At 46.7% G+C, this 22,394-nt stretch overlaps 1 protein-coding gene across 1 annotated transcript in view, besides 2 other annotated features; it reads right to left on the bottom strand.

The window, feature by feature from the left end:
- The window catches only part of RRP1B (ribosomal RNA processing 1B), a 36,520-nt gene that overhangs the window by 6,148 nt on the left and 7,978 nt on the right, over positions 1–22,394 (bottom strand). The window contains exons 2-13 of the mRNA NM_015056.3: positions 19,966–20,048; positions 17,567–17,624; positions 15,977–16,062; positions 15,235–15,296; positions 14,769–14,898; positions 13,596–13,660; positions 13,018–13,199; positions 6,559–6,653; positions 5,282–5,379; positions 4,143–4,162; positions 2,997–3,128; positions 1,692–2,416 (exon numbers count right to left, since the gene is read on the bottom strand). Of these exons, the coding sequence (NP_055871.1) occupies positions 1,692–2,416; positions 2,997–3,128; positions 4,143–4,162; positions 5,282–5,379; positions 6,559–6,653; positions 13,018–13,199; positions 13,596–13,660; positions 14,769–14,898; positions 15,235–15,296; positions 15,977–16,062; positions 17,567–17,624; positions 19,966–20,048 (1,736 nt within the window). The remainder of the gene's footprint in view (positions 1–1,691; positions 2,417–2,996; positions 3,129–4,142; positions 4,163–5,281; positions 5,380–6,558; positions 6,654–13,017; positions 13,200–13,595; positions 13,661–14,768; positions 14,899–15,234; positions 15,297–15,976; positions 16,063–17,566; positions 17,625–19,965; positions 20,049–22,394) is intronic.
- Positions 1,687–1,816: a silencer, noted in NCBI's record as "silent region_13363". NCBI's record gives its function as "represses an Ori minimal core promoter by ATAC-STARR-seq in GM12878 lymphoblastoid cells {active_cell/tissue: GM12878}" and the evidence as "EXISTENCE:reporter gene assay evidence [ECO:0000049][PMID:35858748]".
- Positions 15,193–15,692: an enhancer, noted in NCBI's record as "H3K27ac hESC enhancer chr21:45094121-45094620 (GRCh37/hg19 assembly coordinates)". NCBI's record gives its function as "activates a minimal SCP1, AML or CMV promoter by ChIP-STARR-seq in primed H9 embryonic stem cells {active_cell/tissue: H9 hESC(primed)}" and the evidence as "EXISTENCE:reporter gene assay evidence [ECO:0000049][PMID:30033119]".

Below are 22,394 nucleotides of genomic sequence, written 5' to 3'. Positions count from 1 at the left end.
TGTGGAGGACAGTGATGCCCATGTGGGGCTGTGGGTCCCTCACAGGCAGGCCCAGGACACTCATTGCGTGTGCAGCAACTGACAGCCACCCAGAGAGAGACCGGGTCTCGTACTTGGCTCTCAGAGGTGTGGGCAGCCCAGTGCCGCTGCCGACACACGGGTGGCTCCGGCAGGTTCAAGTGTGCCGCCTGGAGGGCAGGGAAGCCCGAGGAGCTTCTCCTGTGCGCCTTCCCTGTGCCATGACAGATGGCAGGGGAAAGCTTCCCTTGACCCTGGGACTTATTGAGCAACACCCCATCCTCTTTACAATAGGCTGCCAGGGGCCTGAGACGACAGCAAGAAAGGCAATGTCTCTGGCCCTCTTAGTGAGGGAGCAGCGCTGAGGGTACGAGGGGCAGGCTGCAGTCCAGGGAGGAGATGGCGGCACTGTGAGGTAGGAGAGACTCGAGGCTAGAAATGGGCCTCCTGCCGTCCAGCTCAGTGCACTGCTGCCCCTGGGTAAGGCTTTCCTGACCATAAACTCACTCACTAGCCACTTGCAGACACTCTTAGCCCCAAACCAGCGCTTCACCAGGTCCACACATGTCCACTTAAACAAGAGATGTCATAATCTCCGCAAAGCGGTGTGTGCAAACCAAGAGGTGACCAAGGTGCGCAAACTCTGTGAAGGGCAGAGTTATTTTCTGCTTTACAGACCGCAGGTCTCTGTCTCTACCACTCCCCTCTGCCGCTGCAGCATGAAAGTGGCCACAGACCTGCACATACAAGTGGATGTGGCTCTGTTGCAGTGACACTACGTTTGCCGGCCCTGGCCTGGAAGCCCAGGGCGCCCAGAGGTGGTGTGAAAAGCGGATCAGGGCCAGGCGCGGGGGCTCTCGCCTGTAATCCCGCACTTTGGGAGGCCGAGGCAGGTGGACTGCTTGAGCCCAGCCTGGGCAACAAGGCAAAACTCTGTCTCTACAAAAATAACAAAAATTAGCTGGGCATGGTGATGTGTATCTGTAATTCCAGCTACTTGGGAGGCAGAGGCAGAAGAATCGCTTGAACCTGGGAGGTGGAGGTTGCAGTGAGCCGAGATTGTGCCACCGCACTCCAGCCTGGGTGACACAGCCAGACCCAAGACCAGATCAACAGCTTGGTTCCTCATTTATATCTGGCTCTAGAAATCAAAGTGGAAGGAAAGTCTTTCCATTAAGAAGATAAGTGGTCCTGCTAGTGAAGTTTCTTGAGCTGGGGGGTAGGGGGGAAGCTAAGAAAAGAAAAGAATATAGAAAAGAAGGTGAGTGAAGCAAGAGAATTTTGGGCTTCCTCTTTTGCCAAAGGGGCCTGGACTGGCCATGCGCTGATGAAGAAAACCAGACCTGCCTTTGACAGAGGCCTAGACTGGCCTGAACACGCCTGGGGCAGGAGTGCCTGGCCCAAGGGATAACTTTCCCAGCTTGGAGTGGGCCCTCCCGAACCCAAGCATGTGGCCTAAGGGAGTGAAGGTGGCCGATGAGGAGGACCGAAGTACTGGTCACCTGTGATTTCCTCCTTAGTGAAGGCTGTTATGAACACACCCTATTCTAACTGCTGCTGAGTCCAGAGGCCTGGCCGCCAGCCCCCACCCTTCCTCTCAGGAGGCAGTGGAGCCCCATGGACGCGAGTGAGTGCCTCTGTGGCGAGCTGGCCTGTGGGTGCTCCCACCTTACCAGAGCCTGGGGTTGCCCAGCTTCGGACTCCAGCACCCCGTTGTGCTCCACCAAGTTTGACATCACTCTCATTTTCTTCCTCTTTTTCAAACTTGCTGTTTTCTGGCTGGGCAGGCCACAGAGCTCCAGGCTGCCGGGCCCTGCCTTCTTTTTCTGCAGCCTCCTGCGCTGGGGCAGCGTGGTGTGGCTGTTCGCCCCCTCTGCGGGGCCTGTGGGAGGGCCTTCCTGCTGCAATGGAGGCCAGGCCGGCGTGGACAGGCCACTGCCATTGACGGGCACAACTCCAAGTTTCCGCTTCCTTTTTAGGAGTTGGGCTCCACCTGTCGGGGACCCTCTAGGTCCCTGAGGATGACTGCCACTCGGGCCACTCTGAGACATGTCCTCTGGGGGCAACACTGCTGATTCCAACATTTCCCTGTGGGCCCTCGGGCTCTTCTTCCGTGGCCGTTTCCTTTTATTGTGCATGGGGACGGCTGGAGGATGCTCGGAGCCACTCTCCTCCCCAGTGCTGGACGTGGCCTCTGCACCTGGCTCGGCCACACGTGCCTTCAGGGCTTTCAGCCCAGAGGCCTCGGGCTCCCTGCCCCGGTTCTGTTCCAGGGATGGGGCTGCACCCCCTGGGCCTGGATTTTCAGGCTGCAGGTGGTGCTTCTTCTTCTTCTTCCTTCTTCTCTTTTGAAGACTGCTTTCACTGTCCTCTTCCTCTACACAAAAGACTCTGCTTCCTAAAAAGACAGAAACCCATCAACAAGCACCCAGTGCCAGCTGGGCCAGAGTCCTGCTGGCGATTCTCAGACAGTATGACTGGCGGACGCAATTTCCTGACATTCTACCACGAGGAAAGTTCCTGTCTCCCTTGAGGTACTTGGTGCGCCCACTACCTTTGTCGTCTGGTCCCACTTCCTCCATCCCCAACTGTGACTGGAAGCCTTCCTTCTGTCCGTTTATAAACACATATGGAACTGAAATAGTCCCATTTCCACTAATTTTAGGGCTCAAGGGTAAAAACCATAGATCTCGAGTGGTCATCAAACAGCCGCCCCCCAGTGCTCCCTGCAGCTCCTGCTTCCCTGCAGAGGTGCCCTGGAGAGCAGGCGGACGTGAGCGGGGTGAGGTGGGGACGCGGCTCCACCAAAAACAGCACAACACTTGGAAAACCGCCTTTACCTCTCAGCCATTAAAGACTGAAGCTTTGGGCTCTGCTAATGCTTTATGACGGCACGAGCTCAAGTCTCCGAGGCCTCCATGGTGCATGCCGCTCCCCAAGGGCTGAGTCGTGCCCTTCTTTTTAGCTTTACAGCTTACCTTTCTCCTTTTCCAAGTTAGTTTTCTCTAAAAGTTTATTTCCTTTCTTCTTATGCTTTCCTTGACTGAGGATTTGGTCATCTTCATCAGCAGAAATGTCCTCCGCAAAACTGAGTTGAGATATACTGCTTCCTAGATGCCAGAGTGACACACTGTTAGCTTCCCCAGGCGCTCAAGACTCTGCCCCAGGGGCCTAAGAGCAGCACCCCTCCCAATTTCTGCCTCATCATCATCGTTCCTCACCGTTTCTCCCACCCAAACCTGAGCGCTGCTGACACAGGAATTACAGACTTAAAAAAGCTTTGTGGATTTCTCAACCAAGGCAAGGCAAGGGATCACAAGCCCTCGGTGACACCCTCCATGGCTGGACCCCGGACGCTTGGCTAATGCAGTCTCTGCATTCCAACCAGCTTGCTGGTGCCTTTCCCAATTCCAAGTGTCCCTAGTGAATGACGGGTATGGGGTAACTTCACTGACTTGTCCAAATGTAACAAAGCTTACAGCATCAGCCTTTCCCGGGGGGACCATTGACCATAAGAGCAAATGAAAGGGATCCTGAGAAATTACATTTTTTACCTTCATAGAGTATCCAATTAAAACCTTCCTAGGCCATTGAAAATCCATCTAGTTAAAATAATAAAAACCAAACCAAAACATCGCAGTACCCACACATGAGAGCAGTCTGCCCTCTTGCTTTGGTGGTTAGGGAGAGCCCAGGATAGGAAGGTGGGCAGGCTGCAGGGAGCCCTAGGCTTGCATCACTTCCCACGCTGTACTGCGGTATGACTAGGTAAGGGCTGGTCTGTCTTTCTTAAAAGTTGGGGTCTTGTTGTGTCACCCAGGCTGGAGTGCAGTGGTGTGATTACAACTTACTGCATCCTGGACCTCCTGGGCTCAAGCGATCCTCCCCTCTTAGACTCCCAAGTGACTGGGACTACAGGATCACGCCACCACGCCTGGCTAATTTTTTCATTTTTAGTAGAGATGTGGCCTTGCTATTTTGCCTGGGCTAGGGACTATTATTTCTTATCAGAGGTTTTCAGTAAAGTTCTTTCAATCTTGTTTCTCAGCGTTTGGCATCAACGCCCCCAGTGGGGTCCATATTCACGAAAAACACCATGAATGATGATTCTTGGCGCGCCTCACCTTCAGAAAGGTCTTGGAATCTAAAAATAAAAAAATAAAAAATAAAAAATAAAAAAATAACAAATGTTCATAAAGAAATCCCTTCTGTCTTCTGTAGACATATGTATTTGATTTTTAAAATACAAGCCATAGTTAAATAGTTGTTAATTCACGTTCTCCTCCAGGAGGGGAGGCTAGACAGGAAATTCTGTGAGGGAAGGGTGGTGCAATACAAAAGCCAAAAAGCTCAAGGCCAGTGCCGCCCTCGGTTACCATCAATACCAGCAAGGACACGGCGGGCCAAAGATGCATCTTGGCACACCCAAATCAAACTAAGAAATTCAATTTTTGTTTCTGAAGGCAGAAATAGCTTAGATCTCTCTCATATTCAATTCTCCAGTGGAGAAAGGCGAAGCCATGTTTTGCTTCACACAATTTTTGTGCATTAGAACAAACAAGACGCATCGAAGCGCAGTGTGGGGAGGTGCATGGGGGAGGAGACACTGGATGGCAGGGACCTCAGGCAAGCTAGGACCATCCTGTGCCCTAAGAACCAGCTGGGAAATGGGCAAAACTACAGGAGCTACTTTCTGGGGGCTTAACATGGAATACTTGAATGTATACAAAGTGCTCAGAGCAGTGCCCGGCTCCTAGAGTGTGATCAGACAGTTGTTGTCACCAATGACAGCAAGCCACACGAGGCCCTCCATGAATTCCAGGTCATCATGTCACTATGGTCAGAGTGACATCAACACTGACAGCTGAATTAACTAACACTTTTGGCATAGCCATATGGGAGGGAGGGGAGAGGTAAAGAATTAACCCTATCTATCTCAGCAGCACACCAGCAGAAGACACCTAAATAGCAGATTCACATCAGTTTCTGGTTGGTTCATTTTAGACATGAATAGACTTCACATCATTCTAAAGCAGCTAAGAGATGAGTATGGCTGCACTGGAAGAATGGAACCTGAGGGGTGGGACTGCTGTTTCCATTAAGCTTTTCAGTTTACATGTGTCTATTACATTGCTATACACAAAAGCATTAAAGGACAAAAAAAGAAGAAAGAAAAAAGATAAGCATGCAGATGGCTTGTCCCACACCAGGAGATGAGAACTAAAGGAATGATGATGTCAGAACCCTCTCCCCAGTTACTGACTTCTTGATGAGTTTGGAGAGGCGCTTCCTGTTGAAGTGGGGCGTGTTCTTCCTGCTGGTCATTTCCAGGAGTCGATCAGCAACAGCCTTATAGTCAAACTAGGCAGGAAGAGAAACTAAACATAAGTCTGCAGCCAAACAACACTGCCTGACTTGGCCATTTACATCTGCTAGTAAGAGAAACCCTTACTGAAGCATTTGGCAACAGATAGGCTAAACAAGCTTGTGCTGGGACTTGGCAACCAGGAGCACAAGCACTACCTTTGAAAAATGCATGTTCAGGCCGGGCGCGGTGGCTCATGCCTGTAATCCCAGCACTTTGGGAGGCTGAGGCGGGTGGATCACAAGGTCAGGACATCGAGACCATCCTGGCTAACACGGCAAAACCCCGTCTCTACTAAAAATACAAAATATTAGCCGGGCGTGATGGCGGGCGCCTGTAGTCCCAGCTACTCGGGAGGCTGAGGCAGGAGAATGGCGTGAACTCAGGAGGCAGAGCTTGCAGTGAGCCGAGATCGAGCCACCGCACTCCAGCCTGGGAGACAGAGTGCGACTCTGTCTCAAAAAAAAAAAAAATTATTCTTGGGAAAAGCTGGGTAAGCAATTCTTAAAAAAAAAAAATTGTGATAGAGTACCCACAACAAAATTTACCTGGGTGTGCTTTTTTTTTTTTTTTTTTGAGCCAGAGTCTGTCACCCAGGCTGGAGTGCAGTGGCATGATCTCAGTTCACTGCAACCTCCACCTCCCGGGTTCAAATGATTTTCCTGCCTCAGCCTCCCGAGTAGCTGGGATTACAGGCGTGCGCCACGGTGTCGGGCTAATTTTTGTATTTTTAGTAGAGACGGGTTTCACTGTGTTGGCCAGGCTGGTCTCGAACTCTTGACCTCAGGTGATCTGCCCGCCTGGGCCTCCCAAAGTGCTGGGATTACAGGCGTGAGCTTGTAATTAAATTTTAAATTTAATCTAGATTTGCAATCTGTACTTGGCAAACTTTTTTTTATTTGAAAAGTGCCACTAGAGCTGGCTCTGTGGTAGAGAACAGAGGAGAGCTTAGCCATTCAAAATAAGTGCTACTATCTCTTTCAAAACTCCATCATATTTACATTTCCTTGTCTCCAATAAGGTTATTCTTCAGAAGGTGACATTTAGTGACTGAAGGGATTAAAAAGGAGTTTACGCTTCAGGCCTTATAGCTTAACTAGCTGTGACCCTAATTCTCTAGTCAGGCTACTCCACAGCAAATCTATATTCTATAAAAAGCAACAACTGCTACCCACCTGGAGAAGGGGCCCTGTGTCCTCAAAGGTTCCACAGTCATCTCTTCCTCTTTCATCACTGAGTCCATCTTTTCTGGAATGGTTTTTGCCCAGTGCTGTCAAAATATACCCAAAGACCAAATTATTGACATATCAAATACACAGAAGTGACTACTTCCACAGGAGCCACTGTCTAATTAGGTGTCTCTTAGCAAAAAAGAAGGTTGGGCACGGTGGCTCACGCCTGTAATTCTAGCACTTTGGGAGGCTGAGGTGGGTGGATCACTTGAGGCCAGGAATTCTAGATCAGCCTGGGCAACATGGCGAAACCCCGTCTCCACTAAAAATACAAAAATTAGCTGGGCGTGGTTGCGGGTGCCTGTAATCCCAGCTACTTGGGAGGCTGAGGCATGAGAATCGCTTGAACCCAGGAGGCAGAGGTTGCAGTGAGCCAAGATCATGCCACTGCACTCCAGCCCGGGCGACAACGAGACTCCGTCTCAAAAAAAGAAAAAATGAAAGAAAATTTATTTAAGGAGAAAAACTCTGCAAAGCCATTTATAATTTCCCAGGACATTTTGATTGTTCAGGCTATGGGAATGAAGGTAAGTCTGGGAAAAAGCACATGTTTTGCCTTTTGTACCCATAAAACCCCAATTCCCTGCTGCCTTCGATGATTTCCTCCCCCACACGTGGTCCCGTTAGGACGAAGGCTGCGGTGCATGGGAAGCTCCTGTCCAGGGACGCAGGCAAGCGGATGGGACACGGCATCGCCCTGGACCACCAGGGGTAGGAGCATGGACGCAGGAATCCGGCCCTAGTCTCAGGTCAGTTTAGGACCTTGGTGAGAACCTGTCACAGCAGTACAGTCACTTTTCACGAGCATGCTTCAGGAAGCACAAGTCAATATTAATGCAACTTTTAGCACTTAAAAAATTCAGAGTGTTACAGCCTATGAAGAAGCAGATTAAACAGACTCAGGAGAACTCAAAATTATTTTAAACGTGTACTGTTTCTGGAACCCTCTAAGCTTATTAGTGGTGCGACATCAGGGCAAGGCCTGGGGAGGATGGGGCAGGCGCAGCACACGTTTCATGAACGCAACTGGGAGGGAACGTCCGGAACTGCACTTGGAAGAGAGTCTGTGTCCAGGTTAGGCGACAGAAATGTGGGGAGCGGAGGGACCCAGAGACTACTCCCATGACCACATAAAATTTGCTCCAGGTCCTTAGTCAACTCTGTTATCTACACCAAATTTAAAATCAGACTATTTCTTTTTTTCGTTTTGTTTTAGAGATGGGGGTCTCATTATGTTGCCCAAGCTGGTCTCAAACTCCTGGGCTCAAGTGATCTTCCCATCTTGGCCTTCCAAAGTACTAGGATTATAGGCATGAGTCTCCACACCTAGACTAGACTATTTCTTTTATTCTTTCTTTTTTGAGACAGGGTCGCTGGTAGCTCTGTTGCCCAGGACGCAGTGCAGTGACACGATCATGATTCACGGCAGCCTCACCCTCCCAGGTTCAACTGATTCTCCCAGCTCAGCCTCCTGAGTAGCTGAGACCACAGGCATGTGCCATCACGCTTGGCTAATTTTAAAATTTTTGTAAAGTCAAGGTCTTGTTATGTTGCCCAAGCTGGTCTCCAACTCCTAGGCTCAAGTGATCCTCCCACCTCAGGCTCCCAAAGTGATGGGATTACAGGTGTGAGCCACCGTGCCTGGCCAGAGTATTTTTTCTTTCTTTTAAAGATTCTTGGCCGGGCATGGTGGCTCACGCCTGTCTGTAATTCCAAGACTTTGGGAGGCCCAGGCGGGCGGATCAACTGAGGTCGGGAGTTCGAGACCAGCCTGACCAAAAGATAGATACAAATTTTGCTAAGCATGGTGGTGCATGCCTGTAATCCCAGCTACTTGGGAGGCTGAGGCAGGAGAATTGCTTGAACCCGGGAGGCAGAGGTTGCAGTGAGCTGAGATTGCGCCATTGCACTCCAGCCTGGGCGACAAGAGCGAAACTCCATCTCAAAAAAAAAAAAAAATTACTTCCCGTCCACCAGGTCTAAAAATTAAAAAGAAAAAAAAGGTTCTTGATTCTATCTATCTATCTATCTATCTATCTATCTATCTATCTATCTGTTTATTTATTTATTTTTTGAGACAGTGTTTTGCTTGGTTGCCCAGGCTGGAGTGCAGTGGCACGATCTTGGCTCACTTCAGCCTCCACCTCCTGGGTTCAAGTGATTCTCTCCCACCTCAGCCTCCCAAGTAGCTGGGACTATAGGCGACCGCCACCATACCTGGCTAATTTTTGTACTTTTTGGTAGAGACTTGGTTTCACCATGTTGGCCAGGCTGGTCTCGAACTCCTGACCTCAAGTTATCCGACTGCCTGGGCTTCCCAGAGTGCTGGGATTATAGGCATGAGCCACTGCAACCGGCTTGATTTTTTCTGATTAAATATAATATATAATCACTGTAGGAAATAGAGAAGTACAAAGGAAACAGAAATCACCCATAATTCTGCCACCTACAGCTAACTATACTAACATTTTGGGCTAGGTGTGGTGGCTCATGCCTTTAATCCCAGCACTTTGGGAGGCTGAGGTGGGTGGAATGCTTAAGCCTAACAGTTTAAGACCAGCCTGGGCAATATAGTGAGACCCCTGTCTCTACAAAAAATAAAGAGGTGTGTGCTTGTGGTCCCAGCTACTTGGGAGGCTGAAGTGCGAGGATCACTTGAGCCCAAGAGGTTGAGGCCGCAATAAACCATGACTGCTCCACTGCACTGCAGCCTGGGCAACAGAGCAAGACACTGTCTCTCTTTTTTTTTTTTTGAGATGGCGTCTCCCTCTGTCGCCCAGGCTGGAGTGCAGTGGCTCGATCTCTGCTCACTGCAACCTCCGCCTCCCAGGTTCAAGTGATTCTCCTGCCTCAGCCTCCTGAGTAGCTGGGGTTACAGGCATGTGCCACCATGCCTGGCTAATTTTTTTTTTTGTATTTTTAGTAGAGACAGGGTTTGAGCATGTTGGTCAGGCTGGTCTCGAACTCCTGACCTCGTAATCCACCTGTCTCCGCCTCCCAAAGTGCTGGGATTACGGGCCTGGGCCACCGCGCCCGGCCGACCCTGTCTCTAAATAAATAAATAAAACATTTTGGTTTATCCTTCCAGATTTTTTAAAAGCACGAACAATCCTAGCCAGAGCAATCACAGAAAAGAAATAAACGGCATCCAAACTGGTAAAGAGGAAGTCAAAGTCCGTGTTTGCCGATGATACAATCATATACCTAGAAAACCCTAAACACTCACCCAAAAAGCTCCTAGAATGGTAAATGAATTCAGCAAAGTTTCAGGATACAAAACCAATTTACATGAATCAGTATGATGGCTATACACCAACAACGACCAAGCTGAGAATCATATCAAGAACTTACTCCCTTCTACAACAGCTGCAAAAAAACCCCTACCAAAACAACAATGACAACAAAAAACAAAACAAACAACAAAACCTCAAAAACCTTAGGAATATACCTAACCAAGGATGTGAAAGATCTCTACAAGGAAAACTACAAAACACTGCTGAAAGAAGTCACTGATGACACAAACAAATGGAAATACAGAAGCACATCCCATGCTCACGGATGGGTAGAATCAATATTGTGAAAACGACCATACTGGCAAAAGCAATCTACAGATTCAACACAATGCCCATAAAAATACCATCATCATTCTTCACAGAACTAGAAAAAACAATCCTAAAATTCATATGGAATCAAAAAAGAGCCTGCATAGCCAAAGCAAGACTAAGCAAAAAGAATAAATCTAGAGGCTGGGAGTAGTGGCTCATGCCTGTAATCCCGGCACTTTGGGAGGCTGAAGCTGGTGGATCACTTGAGGTCAGGAGTTCGAGATCAGCCTGGCCAACATGGTGAAACCCCATCTCTACTAAAAATACAAAGACATATTAGCTGGGCGTGGTGGCACCCGCCTATAATTCCAGCTACTAGGGAGGTTGAGGCATGAGAATCGCTTGAACATGGGAGGCAGAGGTTGCAGTGAGCTGAGATCGCACTATTGCACTCCAGCCTGGGCGACAGAGCAAGACTCTGTCTCTCTCCCCTCCCCGCCGCCAAAAAAAACCCAAAACACCAAAACACCAAAAAAAAAAAGACACACAAAAAAACAAAAAACCCTCAAAAACCCGGAGACATCAGAACACTCGATTTCAAACTATACTATAAAGCCATAGTCACCATAATGGCATGGTACTGGTACTGGTATAAAAATAGGCATGTAGACCAATGGAACAGGAGAACCCAGAAATAAACCCAAATACTTACACTCAACTGATCCTCAACCAAGCAAACAAAAACGAAGTGGGGAAAGGACACCCTATTCAAAAATGGTGCTGGGGTAATTGTCAAGAAGAATGAAACTGGATCCTCATCTCTCACCTTATAGAAAAACCAACTCAAGATGGATTAAAGACTTAAATATAAGACCTGAAACCATACAAATTGTAGAAGATAGCATTAGAAAAACTCTTCCAGATGTCGGCTTAGGTAAAGAGTTCATGACCAAGAACCTAAAAGTGAATGCAATGAAAACAGAAACAGCTGTGACTTAATTAAACTAAAAAGCTTCTGCACAGCAAAAGAAATAATCAGCAGAATAAACAAACAAAATGGGAGAAAAGATTTGCCAATTATGCAGCCAACAAAGGACTAATATCCAGAATCTACAAGGAACTCAAACAAATCAGCAAGAAAAAAACAATCCCATCAAAAAGTGGGCTAAGGAAATGAACAGACAGTTCTCAAAAGAAGATATACAAATGGTCAACAAACACACGGAAATGCAAATGAAAACCATAATCAGATACCACCTCACTCCAGCAAGAATGGCCATAATTTAAAAAATCAAAGAATAATAGATGTTGGTGGCCGGGCGCGGTGGCTCATGCCTGTAATCCCTGCACTTTGGGAGGCCGAGGTGGGTGATCACCTGAGGTCAGGAGGTTGAGACCACCCTGGCCAACATGATCAAACCCCATCTCTACTAAAATGCAAAAAATTAGCTGGGCCTGGTGGCAGGTGTCTGTAATCCCAGTTACTCAGGAGGCTGAGGCAAGAGAATTGCTTGAACCTGGGAGGTGGAGGCTGCAGTGAACTGAGATGGCACCACTGCACTCCAGCCTGGGTGACAAGAAGCAAAACTCCATCTCAAAAAAAAAAGATGTTGGCACAGATGTGGTGAACAGGGAAGACTTCTACACTGCTGGTGGGAATGTCAACTAGTACAACCACTGTGGAAAACAGTGTGGAGATTCCTTAAAGAACTAAAAGTAGATCCACCATTTGATCCAGCAGTTCCACTGCAGGGTATCTACCAAGAGGAAAAGAAGCCACTATATGAAAAAGACACTTGCATACGCTTGTTTATAGCAGCACAATCCACAGCTGCAAAAACATGGAACCGGCCTGAATGCCCATTGACCAATGAGTGGACAAAGAAAATGCGGAATATACACCGTGAATACTACTCAGCCATAAAAAGGAATGAAATAATGGTATCCACAGCAACCTGGCTAGAGTTGGAGACCATTATTCTAAGTGAAGTAACTCAGGAATGGAAAACCAAACATTTTATGTTCTCACTTAAAATAAAAGCACAAATAAACGTTTAAAAACAAATCAGATGCACAACTATTATATAGCCATAATAATTAAAGAAAACCCAAACAACAAATCAGACTCCTTCTATGTAGAGTTTGTACCCTGCTTTAAAAAATATATATATATGTCTGTCACATTTCCTTTGGTCCTTAGTTTTTAGGAGCTTTGCTTTTAAATGGGTATACAACACTTCAAAAGCATGGGTAAGCTGTGATCTAACCATTTCCCTTATTTTGTGCATTCAGATGCCATAAAGCACTGTGGTGAGAGTTTGGATGGGCCTGCAACTTCAAATGCACATTCTACATTAAGTCCAGACACAAAACAGTAGTAAGAATTATGTCAGTACACAGTAGGCATTTAAACATCCCAAGAAAAAGAAAAACATTCCCTGAAGGAAGCCATGAGTTGAGAAAGGACAGCCACAGAAACAAGCGTACGTCCCTCGAGTAACCCGTAGAAATGAGGCCATGCATGCTAAGGTGTTAGCGTGTCAAACAAAAAACAACAAAGCAAACAAAAAGCACTAGCAGTGACAATGGTAAAATCCTCGAGGAGAGTCCTGAGATCCTGAGAGGTACAGAAATGTGTGTATGCCACATGGGACAGATCTCAGGTCTCCCCAGAGCCCCGCTAGGCACCCCCCAGGCACAATGAACCCACCTCTGCTGCCTTTCTTGGGAGGGGCTGAGGCAGAGCCATCAACTCTAGGTTGCATTCAGTAAGATGCCAACAAATGTATTAAAAACTGTTTGTCTGAGGAGGATTTTAGCAGAAAGAAAGCTACACTGACCAAGAACATCCTCCTACCTGTCTTCTTTTTACTGACAGCTCTTCTCAAGGATACCTCATTTTCAGGTATCTCCTCAGCAGAGAGGTCACCATCACCCACTTTTGTCTTCTGTTCCTCCATCGTCTCTTCAGGCACAAAAGGAGACTGATCTACGATAGCTTCGAAGACACCCCGAGCTATGGTCTGTACCAGGGTGTGGCTGAGGGTAGAAGCACAGCGGAGAGCATGTGATGAGAACAAACGGCCTGGCCTTCTGGCTTCAGGGGCACAGAGGGAAGCCCTGCACACGTTGCTGTGGTCTGGAGTGGCCCCCACGGGCCAGCAAGCATCTGAGAGGAACTGCCTAAGTGCCACCCGACAGGCACGGGACGCCCAGCGGTCAGATCTTTGGGTGTGGGAGGGCATTCCTGGAATGAGTGAGGCAAATACTGAAGCTAGAAGAGCCAAATCACTGCTCAAAGCTTCGGCTGTCTTCTCCAGCCGCTCTCTGCTGTGAAGCAGTGTCCTGGGTACCCTGTGCCAGGCTGCACGACGGCAAGTAACTCCCATGAGCAAATGCCACGGAGCAGGAGGAACGAACAGGGGAATCACTTACTCCTTCGTCTTCGCAGCAATTTTGCAGAATGGATCGATAAACTTGAGATTCTGATCTGCTAAAAGCTGTAATTTAGAAAAAGGGAAAAATTGAGAAAGAGCCTTTCCCTTCTTGACATGTCCTTGAAAAAGGGACCATTCCCATCTTTTACAAAGGTGGAGTTAGACCAAGCAATGCCTGTCTCACACAGCCCCAAAGCGCCCCTGTGGAATGCCACAGAAGCCTGGAGCCAGGCTGAAGACTGAGGCCGCCCTCCAGCTACTTGGTATCTTAGTGCAGTGGCTGGAGAAAGCCACCCAGCCTGACCTGCACTATCCTATATGCCCAACATATACAACACGGGTGTCCAATCTTGTGACTTCCCCAAGCCATAATGGAAGAATAACTGTCTTGGGGCACACCTAAAATACACAAACACTAACAACAGCTGATGAGCTAAAAATAAAATAAAATAAAATAAAATAAAATAAAATAAAATAAAATAAAATAAAATGCAAAATACCCCTCATATTTTAAGAAAGTTTATAAATTTGTGTTGGGCCACATTCAAAGCTGCCCTGGGCCCCATGCAGCTCTCAGGCTGCGGGCTGGACAAACCTGATACAGGACATACATATACTTCCTCTACAAGAGGGGTAACAGGGACAGTGCCTCCAAGTGTGAGACAAAAGAATTATTGTTTTGAATATAACATATTTTCTTTTAATCAAAAAAATACATGTTCCCTGCAAAACACCTGTGAAAGAAAAGTAAAATCTGTGCACATTCCCACATTCAGAGAATCATTTGCATACTAAAAAATGTATGTTTCCTTTCCAGCCTTTTGTCTATTTATGAGTATATACCTTAAAAATGTCTACCATTTGCATAGCTTTTCCTAGCGCTTTATAAAGCTCCCTAGATCCTGAGTACTCCCCCGTGTTAGTGAGTTCTTTAGTGGAGTCTGTAGGTTGCTTTCAATTCCGTTTTACAGGTAAGACTGTCATGTACATCCTCAGTGCACAAATCCCATCCCACCAGCTGCTTAGGACACATTCCCAGACAGGACTGAAGCAATTCACGCTGCTACAGTCGCTGGTCATGCGAAGGGCCACCCCACAGCACTTCACTGGCGACTACTGCGAACACTGGCGGCCCCCTCACCCCGTGGGCAGCCTGTCGGCAGCTGCTTACCTCCTTCCCCCCGACTTTGGAGAGTTCATCCAGGTAAATATCAATGAAGTGGAATCTCACTCCATTAGGAGACTGACTCTCAGGACACAGGACCTCCTTCATCAGGACATCCAAGAAAACCTTGATTCGGCTAAAGAACCAAACGCATGCTTCTGTGAATGACAGTATGCCAACACGTCCCACTTCCCAAAGAGAAACAAAAATACTCCGTCTAGAACCTACACAGCCTAACAATCAATGCAAGGCTGAAATCATTTTACAAGGAAAAAAGCAATCACTTAAATCAGGATAAAATGTTAACTGTCATATATACTTAACTGTTTTATGCCTTCTACTGGATTTCAATTCTCTATAGGTAACGATGTATCGAGCTTCTCATTGGTACTCTACAAGTTCAGAAAACTTGACACTCTACTACCTTTTAAGTTTTAAGGCTACCACATGCTAACTCAAATGGTTTACTGACCTTTCTTCCCAGCCATTTCGCTTCAAGACTTCAAAGGACTGCCTCAGGACCAGACGAATCAGCTAAAGAAAGGCAATTTTTGTTTAAAAAAAAAAAAAAAAAAAAAAAAAAGGAAAGGTAAGAAATATTAATCAGCTCAGCAGAATGAAGGGACCAATGAAATTGTTATGGCCTGGATCCCAAAAGTAAAAAAATATTCACAACAGTCATATTTACCTTCTAGATCAAAAAACATATTCATAGCCAAGAACAGTGGCTCATGCCTGTAACCCCAGCATTTTGGGAGGCTGAGGTGGGCAGATCATTTGAGGCCAGGAGTTCAAGACCACCCTGGCCAACATGGCAAACCCTTATCTCTACTAAAAATACAAAAATTAGCCAAGCATGGTGGTGCGCGTCTGTAATCCCAGCTACTCAGGAGGCCGAGGCATGAGAATCACTTGAACCCAGGAGGCGGAGGTCGCAGTGAGCTGAGATCGCACCACTGCACTCCAACCTGGGGAGCAGAGCAAGAGAGACTCTGTCTCAAAAAATACCCAACGTATTCACTAATGCTCCCCAAACTCATCCTTAAGAACTGCAAAAGCCAAAACAGAGAAGCTTTCCAGGACACATTCAAATTCTTCCTTCACACTAAGCCTGTGGCTTGTTTTGCTTCACAAATAAACCTTCCCATTGTTTTTAAGATAAAGGACATTCTTTTCTTCCCAGGAGTTTTTGAAGTAACTGCGGCAGATCTTACCATATAGTATTTGTCCAGGCGTAGCCTGTCTATTCCTTTCCATTCTCGATTCATGGTTTGCCAAAAGGTCTGAATGAACAGGTGTTCTGCAGTGAACAAAAGGCTCTAAATACTTGGCTTCCACATCAACATACTACCATATAGCAAGAAAATAATGAAGAGGAACAAACTAGCATTATTTATTATTCACTTTTCTCAGTAATTCTTGGGCAGCTAGAAAATCTGTTGATAATTAAATATACTCAATCATTTCTTTTACACTTATTTATTAAACATCACTTAGACTGTGCAGATCTTTTACTTTTTTTTTTTTTTTTTTTTGGAGACGGGGTCCCACTCTGTGGCCCAGGCTGGAGTGCAATGGCATGATCTCAGCTCATTGCAACCTCTGCCTCCTGGGTTCAAGTGATTCTCCTGCCTCAGCCTCCCGAGTAGCTGGGATTACAGGTGTGCACCACCACACCCGGCTAATATTTGTATTTTTAGTAAAGACGGGGTTTAACCATGTTGGCCAGGCTGGTCTCAAACTCCTGACCTCAGGTGTTCCACCCACCTCGGCCTCCCAAAGTGCTGGGATTACAGGCGTGAGCCACCGTGCCTGGCCTTGGTCTTTTGAATTTAAATAAAAACAGAATAACCGGAAGGGCTGGCAACATTGCAATGTCAGATTTGAGCGCTCTCTGGAGCATTTTTCCTTTATCCACTGCAAAGCCACGTTTCTTTTAAAATCAAGACTCCTTGTTCCACTTCTAGTAACTCTTCCTACTGCACTGGTACCTCACAATCAGTTCAAAACCATTAATTCTGACACTTATATAATCCATATAGAAACTCATATTTTTGTCTGATTATAGGTGGCATCTGGGTGAGCTACGGTACAAAACACTGAATTTTTCTCTTCTGACCCACAGAACTAGCACTTTTTTATTCAAAAACAATTTTTGTTGATTTTTTGGCTTTATTTCTTTTTGCACAATTCTTTTTTCATCTTTGTAAATCTATTATACATCATATGTAGAATTTTGTTCAATATGAGTCAGCTAATATTCAGAGCACCACTGGGGGTGGTTGAAATCATTAGGATGCTTTTCTGAAGAGCATTAAGCAGAACAAACGAAGTCGGCTACCTTTTTCTTCCTTTATAAGCAATCAACGCCTGACACAGAAGCACCCTAACTAATTTTTTTTCTCTATGGTTGAGAGGAGTTACTTCATAGTCTGTGACCGGTGGTGTCTTCTATGTATTTATTACCAGTGACGGCTCTGCTCTTGGGGAAGACGAACCTGGCATCCAGAGGTCACCGTGGACCCTGCATCTGGCTCTCCAGGCTCCAAGTGTTAAAGTAACTCAGAATTTGAAGATTCTGGAGGATTGTTATTTCTAAAAGCATTTTCTGAAATCTTTGAGATGTCAAATTGATTCTCCCCAAGACACTGTGCCCTCTCACCAAGTCAATGACTAAGTTTATCACAGCTTTTAAAAACAGGAATGGCTTGTCCCCTGACATCTACACAATACCGGCACAAGGTTCCCATTAAACTAGCAAGTCGGAAAACTTGGAAGGAAGGAGAAGAAACAACAGGACTTACGAGCCGCTGAGTTGTTAACAGCATGGACTAGCTGTGCAATGGTGTTGGCGAGCTCTTCCTGCAGAGGCGGGGTTGGGGAGAAACATGGGGGTTATCGTGGGGCAACATGAGATGCCTGTGCCGCGGCCTGCTTCCTTCTCCCACTTCCGCTCGTGGGAAGGTCTGCCCCTCTTGTCACTTCCACTAAGAAGTATGTATCCGAATATCTGAATTTTATCAAATGTGTAAGTTCCAATATTGACGGACTATTATGCTAACTTGGTATGTCTGCAAGAACTGTGTTAAGCTACATGTTTAAAAAAGCATCTCTAATTATCAGTTCAGATGAACTAGAGATGAAATAAATTAGTTATCAGTTCCTGGCTTTATAACTATATCTGGCCACGTGCAGTGGCTCATGCCTGTAATCCTAGCACTTTGGGAGGCCGAGGCAGGTGGATCACCTGAGGTCAGGAGTTCAAGACCAGCCTGACCAAGATGGCACTCCCCACATCTCTACTAAAAATTCAAAAATTAGTCAGGCGTGGTGGCGTGTGCCTGTAGTTCCAGCTACTCGAGAGGCTGAGACAGAATTGCTTGAACTCGGAGGTAGAGGGTGCAGTGAGCCAAGATCATGCCATTGCACTCCAGCCTGGGTGACAGAGCTAGACTCCATCTCAAAACAACAACAACAACCAAAAAACCCCCATCTAAGCTGGGCTGGGCAGCTCATGCCTGTAATGGGAGCCCGAGCACTTTGGGAGGCCGAGGCGGGTGGATCGCTCGAGTCCAGGAGTTCAACGCCAGCCTAGGCAACACAATGAGACCCAGTCCCTACAAAAAATACAAAAATTAGCCAGGCATGGAGGCGTGCACCTGTAGTCCCAGCTACTCGGGTGGCTGAGGCAGGAGGATCAGCTGAGCAATAGGGAGGTTGGGGCTGTAGTGAGCCATGATGGCACCCCTGCACTTCAGCCTGGGCAACAGAGTGAAACTCTGTAAAAAAAAAAAAAAAAAAAGAAAACTTCATCATAATCCCAGAAATGATGTGAAACACAAAGACAGCAGGGCAGACCTCACAGAGGTGAGATGCTGGGGATGCTCACTGCACGCCATGGGAAAGTCCTCCCTACAGCTTGCTCAGAGACAAGGTGGAATGTGAAGGTAAACTCAGCCTTCTGGGCTCTGTCCTGGGTGAAGGGGTCCCTGAGAGAGCATGCCCTGCTGAGGTGCAGCAGGCTCACTCTGGGGAGACGCCCTCTCTTCTGAGGTTCCGTGAGAAAAGCACACTCCTCATCAGTCTGACTCACACCACACCCGGTCTGTTTTCCTTCGTGGGAAAATGAGATTTCTGTCCATTGGTTTTCTTCCTCCACTAAAGCTGTTGGTTGTTACTTTTGAATGTAATATAAAAATATTTTGCCCTGCTCCTACTCAAAATATGTTCAGTAAAATAAAAATAAATTAAAACAAGTTATTACGCAGCACGGGAGAAGTGGCAAGGCTGCACATTAAAACCCAGAAAAGTAAAATCTTGCCCTGAGGACCTGTCATCTGCATCAGAGACTTGCAAGCACTTCTCAAGGCTGGTTCCTCTACCTCAGGGGTGTCCAGTCTTTTGCCTTCCCTGGGTCACACTGGAAGAACTGTCTTGGGCCACACACAGTATACACTAACACTAGTAATAGTGAAGAGCTTAAAAAAAAAAATCTCATAAGGTCCTAAGAAAGTTTCCGAATTTGTGTTGGGCTGCATTCAAAGCCATCCTGGGCCACATGTGGCTGTGGGTTGGACAAGCCTGCTCTCCCTCTACAGAGGCAGATCGGATCTACTTTCATGGGTCAGAACAAAGCTTTTAAAAAGTGAAAGTCACATCTTTAGTGTTGGCTTTGGTGGTGGGCTTAGCGGGCTCAGCAGGCCCCGCACAGAGAGACCGAGCCTGCTGCGCGTTTGGGTGACTGCGCAGGCGCACTCGGCTTTAACAGGGAGGCTTTCGCTGAGCGCTACTGCTGCTCTCCATGGAACCCGAAGCCCAGTGACGCGGCTGCCCTCTCCTGGGTTTCACAGGGTCTTGACTAGTTAGTGCTCCTGTCATGCCATCCTTGACCACAAAAAATAAACTTACCAGAAGAGAGAAACTTTAAGTAATGTAAAACCTAGCATGGAACCTATGAAATTTTACAGAGAAATAGTAAATTGACAACGAATGCACATCTTTCCTTTTATTTGAAAAGACAATTCACCTAACTGTGTTGACCCTGCATCCCTTTCTGTATGGACAAGAGGTACGAAAATGACTCCTTGAAGCATGACTGTCAGTGTGCGTCAGTGTATCGGGGGACTGGCACAGCATGAGTGATCAAGTCTCTTATCCATCCACAGCAAGAACCCGGGAGCATGACAAAGGGAACGCATGTTACCTGTAGAAGGGGTTCATCCTGCACCCACATGCAGTAGAAGAGCCCCTTCCAGATTTTCAGAAGTTCTTCCTGACTGAAACCTCCTGGAAGGCAAAACAATACAAACATCTTAGAGTCTATGCATCTCTTTTCTTCAAGTTTAGAAAGTGGTGAAGTATCACATACATTTTAATTCTCTTTCGTTTGCACGTCTTTTTAAAAAATTGAAGCAAACATTTCCTTATTGTTATAAAAGAAACACAAATAAATTACTACTGTACCTGCAGCTTTATCAGCTACAGGGTAGGGTGGCAGTGGTGGCCCGGCCTCAGCGTGAGGAAGCAAATGTCATCACAACACAAAATTCATGAACAAAGTGGCCACTTATGAAATCGGCTCCTCATCAACGCCCTCCCCGCCCACCACGTGCAGCCATCCTGCACACTGACATTTTCGCTGGTCTTGTGAAGTAAAACTGCAAATCTTACAAGAGATGCGGGGGACCTGCTCAAGTCATATGAAGCCCCAGCAACGGGCAGCCCCACTTCCGAGGAACAGAAAACCAGCCAGGCTGAGGACACAGGAGCTCCAAACAGTACATCTGAAAGTCAAAGGCCTAGGAAAGGGCCTGGGGACACTGACGCTGCTTTGGAATATTTTTGCAAAAATTACCTTTTAAGGATCCTAGTATAAGGTCAAAAGTGGCTGCCTCCCAGTCACCCTCCCTGTAACGGTGATCATTTACTGTGGCATCACCAGGTTGGCTTTGTCAATCACCCTCCCTGCAACGGTGATCATTTACTGTGGCATCACCAGGTTGGCTTTGTCAATCACCCTCCCTGCAACGGTGATCATTTACTGTGGCATCACCAGGTTGGCTTTGTCAATCACCCTCCCTGTAACGGTGATCATTTACTGCAGCATCACCAGGGTTGGCTTTGTTCTGACTCTAGCTACTCAGGGCTCTACCTCTGCCTTCATGATCTATGATTGAGTGACCAGTCTCGTTCAGCCTTAAATCTCCTGAGTAGACCCCAGGTGTCATAAAGTATTTGCTGACTGACATAAAGAATCACAAAATGATAAGGTAGGTGTACAGTCTTGGAGTTTCCGAGCCTATGGATACATGAAATTAGAACACAAACAGAATCCTCAAGTCTTGATGTGTGTTACAAATGGTCTTTATTAGGATTTTACTAGGAGATCCTAGGAGAAATCTTTTGGAGCAACAAAGTGCTATAAACTAGATGAATGCAAACAAATATTTAGAATCAATGTGATCTTAATACTCCAAAAGATGCTTAAAAAGTGACAAAAAGGGCCAGACGCGGTGGCTCATGCCTGTAATCTCAGCACTTTGGGAGGCTGAGGTGGGCGGATCACGGGGTCAGACGATCAAGACCATCCTCACTAACACAGTGAAACCCCGTCTCTACTAAAAATACAAAAAAAATTAGCCGGGTATGGTGGCGGGCGCCTATAGTCCCAGCTACTCCAGAGGCTGAGGCAGTAGAATGGTGTGAACCCAGGAGGTGGAGTTTGCACTTTGCAGTGAGCTGAGATTGCGCCACTGCACTCCAGCCTGGGCGACAGAGCGAGAGTCCGTCTCTTAAAAAAAAAAAAAAAAGTGACAAAAAGACCTTTTAATGGACCAAAGTTTGTTTAGTGTATTCAGAGTGCGTTAACCTTAATTTACAGGTATTGATTTCCACTTTGCTAAGGGTCTTTCTCCCATCAACAATTTTATAATGGTACATTTTGATTCTTTTTTTTTTTTTTGAGATAGAGTCTTGCTCTGTTGCCCAGGCTGGAGTGCAGTGGCACAATCTAGGCTCACTGCAACCTCTGCCTCCTGGGTTCAAGCGATTCTCCTGCCTCAGCCTCAAGAGTAGCTGGGATTATAGGCGCGTGCCACCACGCCTGGCTAATTTTTTGTATTTTTAGTGGAGACAAGGTTTCACCATGTTGGCCAGGCTGGTCCGGAACTCCTGACCTCAGGTGATCTGCTGGCCTCGGCCTCCCAAAGTGCTGGGAATACTGGCATGAGCCACCACACCCGGCCTGCATTTTGATTCTTTTATGATAGTTTTCCATGTAAAACCAGGATATCAGGAACTAACATAAAACTAGTTTATTAAAGTATATTCCCTTTCACAGTTGGAGAGAAGATGTACCAACTGGTTCTCTTGCCCTCTTGTTATGAACAAGTCATGCCTGGGGATCCTCACGTGGATAATGTAAGTATGGTATGAGTAATAAACCCCACTAGAGCTGAGCCAACTGCGGTCATGATTGCAGTAACTTTTTTTTTCTTGGCCACAGTGACCTGCACTTATATTTAATCATGTTCAAAGACCACATATATCCCCAGTGAATTGAAGGCTTTGGGCAAGGATCATAAATAGCTGCTAAAACATTAGATGAAAAGATATCACCCAGGCGTGGCGGCT

This window comes from Homo sapiens, chromosome 21, assembly GCF_000001405.40.
Source record: "Homo sapiens chromosome 21, GRCh38.p14 Primary Assembly".
Lineage (NCBI taxonomy): Eukaryota > Metazoa > Chordata > Mammalia > Primates > Hominidae > Homo > Homo sapiens.
Note: the sequence above shows the minus strand (reverse complement) of the source record. Positions and strands in the feature narration are given on the sequence as shown.